This window comes from Homo sapiens, chromosome 14 (assembly GCF_000001405.40).
Source record: "Homo sapiens chromosome 14, GRCh38.p14 Primary Assembly".
NCBI classification, from domain to species: domain Eukaryota; kingdom Metazoa; phylum Chordata; class Mammalia; order Primates; family Hominidae; genus Homo; species Homo sapiens.
In genome coordinates, this window is record NC_000014.9 from 35975725 (window position 1) to 35978881 (window position 3157).

The window sequence follows — 3157 nt, forward strand, 5'->3', positions numbered from 1 at the left end:
TTAAAACACAACAATAAAAAAAATCAAAGGAATGAGTTGAAAATAGCCTTTTTGAACATCTATCAAAAAACAAAAACAAAGAATTGTTTTTTAAAAGTTGTTTTAAAAATATTTGAACAGACATGTCATCAAAGAAGATATGTAACGATAAATAAGTACATAAAAAATGCCCAACATCATTAGTTGTTAGGGAAATGGGAATGAAAACCACAACTGATACTATTATATTACATACATATTAGAATGTCTAACATTAAAAGGATCAACCATACCAAGTGTTGGTGAGGATATGGATCAACTGAGACTCTGTTACATTGCTGGTGGAAATGTAAAATGATGCAAACACTTTGAAAAACAGTTAAGCATATACCTACTCTATGATGCAGTCGTTCTACTCGTAGGTATTTATTTATTTATTTATTTATTTTTTTTTTTTTATTGATCATTCTTGGGTGTTTCTCGCAGAGGGGGATTTGGCAGGGTCATAGGACAATAGTGGAGGGAAGGTCAGCAGATAAACAAGTGAACAAAGGTCTCTGGTTTTCCTAGGCAGAGGACCCTGCGGCCTTCCGCAGTGTTTGTGTCCCTGGGTACTTGAGATTAGGGAGTGGTGATGACTCTTAACGAGCATGCTGCCTTCAAGCATCTGTTTAACAAAGCACATCTTGCACTGCCCTTAATCCATTTAACCCTGAGTGGACACAGCACATGTTTCAGAGAGCACAGGGTTGGGGATAAGGTCACAGATCAACAGGATCCCAAGGCAGAAGAATTTTTCTTAGTACAGAACAAAATGAAAAGTCTCCCATGTCTACTTCCCTATCCACACAGACCCGGCAACCATCTGATTTCTCAATTTTTTCCCCACCCTTCCCGCCTTTCTATTCCACAAAACCGCCATTGTCATCATGGCCCATCCCCAATGAGCCGCTGGGCACACCTCCCAGACGGGGTCGTGGCCGGGCAGAGGGGCTCCTCACTTCCCAGTAGGGGCGGCCGGGCAGAAGCGCTCCTCACCTCCCGGATGGGGCGGCTGGCCGGGCGGGGGGCTGACCCCCCCACCTCCCTCCCGGACAGGGCGGCTGGCCAGGCAGAGGGGTCCTCACTTCCCAGTAGGGGCGGCCGGGCAGAGGCGCCCCTCACCTCCCGGACGGGGCGGCTGGCCAGGCGGGGGGCTGATCCCCCCACCTCCCTCCCGGACGGGGCGGCTGGCCAGGCAGAGGGGCTCCTCACTTCCCAGTAGGGGCGGCCGGGCAGAGGCGCCCCTCACCTCCTGGATAGGGCGGCTGGCCGGGCGGGGGGCTGATCCCCCCACCTCCCTCCCGGACGGGGCGGCTGGCCGACCCCCCCCCCCCGCCTCCCTCCCGGACGGGGCGGCTGGCCAGGCAGAGGGGCTCCTCACTTCCCAGTAGGGGCGGCCGGGCAGAGGCGCCCCTCACCTCCTGGATAGGGCGGCTGGCCGGGCGGGGGGCTGATCCCCCCACCTCCCTCCCGGACGGGGCGGCTGGCCGACCCCCCCCCCCGCCTCCCTCCCGGACGGGGCGGCTGGCCAGGCAGAGGGGCTCCTCACTTCCCAGTAGGGGCGGCCGGGCAGAGGCGCCCCTCACCTCCTGGATAGGGCGGCTGGCCGGGCAGGGGGCTGACCCCCCCTCCCCCCTCCCGGACGGGGCGGCTGGCCGGGCGGGGGGCTGACCCCCCCACCTCCCTCCCGGATGGGGCGGCTGGCCAGGCGGGGGGCTGACCCCCCCACCTCCCTCCCGGACGGGGCGGCTGGCCGGGCAGAGGGGCTCCTCACTTCCCAGTAGGGGCGGCCGGGCAGAGGCACCCCTCACCTCCCGGACGGGGCGGCTGGCCCGGCTGGGGGCTGATCCCCCCACCTCCCTCCCGGACGGGGCGGCTGGCCGGGCGGGGGGCTGACCCCCCCACCTCCCTCCCGGACGGGGCGGCTGGCCGGGCAGAGGGGTCCTCACTTCCCAGTAGGGGCGGCCGGGCAGAGGCGCCCCTCACCTCCCGGACGGGGCGGCTGGCCCGGCTGGGGGCTGATCCCCCCACCTCCCTCCCGGACGGGGCGGCTGGCCGGGCAGGGGGCTGACCCCCCCACCTCCCTCCCGGATGGGGCGGCTGGCCGGGCGGAGACGCTCCTCACTTCCCAGACGGGGTGGCTGCCGGACGGAGGGGCTCCTCACTTCTCAGACGGGGCGGTTGCCAGGCAGAGGGTTTCCTCACTTCTCAGACGGGGCGGCCGGGCAGAGGCGCTCCTCACATCCGAGACAGGGCGGCGGGGCAGAGGTGCTCCCCACATCTCAGACGATGGGCGGCCGGGCAGAGACGCTCCTCACTTCCTAGATGGGATGGCGGCGGGGAAGAGGCGCTCCTCGCTTCCTAGATGGGATGGCGGCCGGGCAGAGACGCTCCTCACTTTCCAGACTGGGCAGCCAGGCAGAGGGGCTCCTCATATCCCAGACGATGGGCGGCCAGGCAGAGACGCTCCTCACTTCCCAGACGGGGTGGCGGCCGGGCAGAGGCTGCAATCTCGGCACTTTGGGAGGCCAAGGCAGGCGGCTGGGAGGTGGTTGTAGCCAGCCGAGATCACGCCACTGCACTCCAGCCTGGGCACCATTGAGCACTGAGTGAACGAGACTCCGTCTGCAATCCCGGCACCTCGGGAGGCCGAGGCTGGCGGATCACTCGTGGTTAGGAGCTGGAGACCAGCCCGGCCAACACAGCAAAACCCCGTCTCCACCAAAAAAAAACGAAAACCAGTCAGGCGTGGCGGCGCGCGCCTGCAATCGCAGGCACTCGTCAGGCTGAGGCAGGAGAAACAGGCAGGGAGGTTGCAGTGAGCCGAGATGGCAGCAGTACAGTCCAGCTTCGGCTCGGCATCAGAGGGAGACCGTGGAGGGAGGGGGAGGGGGAGGGGGAGGGGGAGGGGGAGGGGGAGGGGGAGGGGGAGGGAGAGGGCTACTCGTAGGTATTTACTCAAGAAAAAAATGAAAGCATGTGTCCATACAAAGACTTGTACACAAATGTTAATAGCAGTTAATAACCAAAAGCACCTGCAAATAACCCAAATTCACCTTCAACAGGTTAATAAATTGTCATAGATTCAAACAATGGAACTACTTACTTATATGAACGACATGAATAAATTTTTTTT

The 3157-nt window shown here is 61.0% G+C and overlaps 1 annotated feature.

The window, feature by feature from the left end:
- Nucleotides 372-1026: an enhancer, noted in NCBI's record as "NANOG-H3K27ac hESC enhancer chr14:36445302-36445956 (GRCh37/hg19 assembly coordinates)". NCBI's record gives its function as "activates a minimal SCP1, AML or CMV promoter by ChIP-STARR-seq in primed H9 embryonic stem cells {active_cell/tissue: H9 hESC(primed)}" and the evidence as "EXISTENCE:reporter gene assay evidence [ECO:0000049][PMID:30033119]".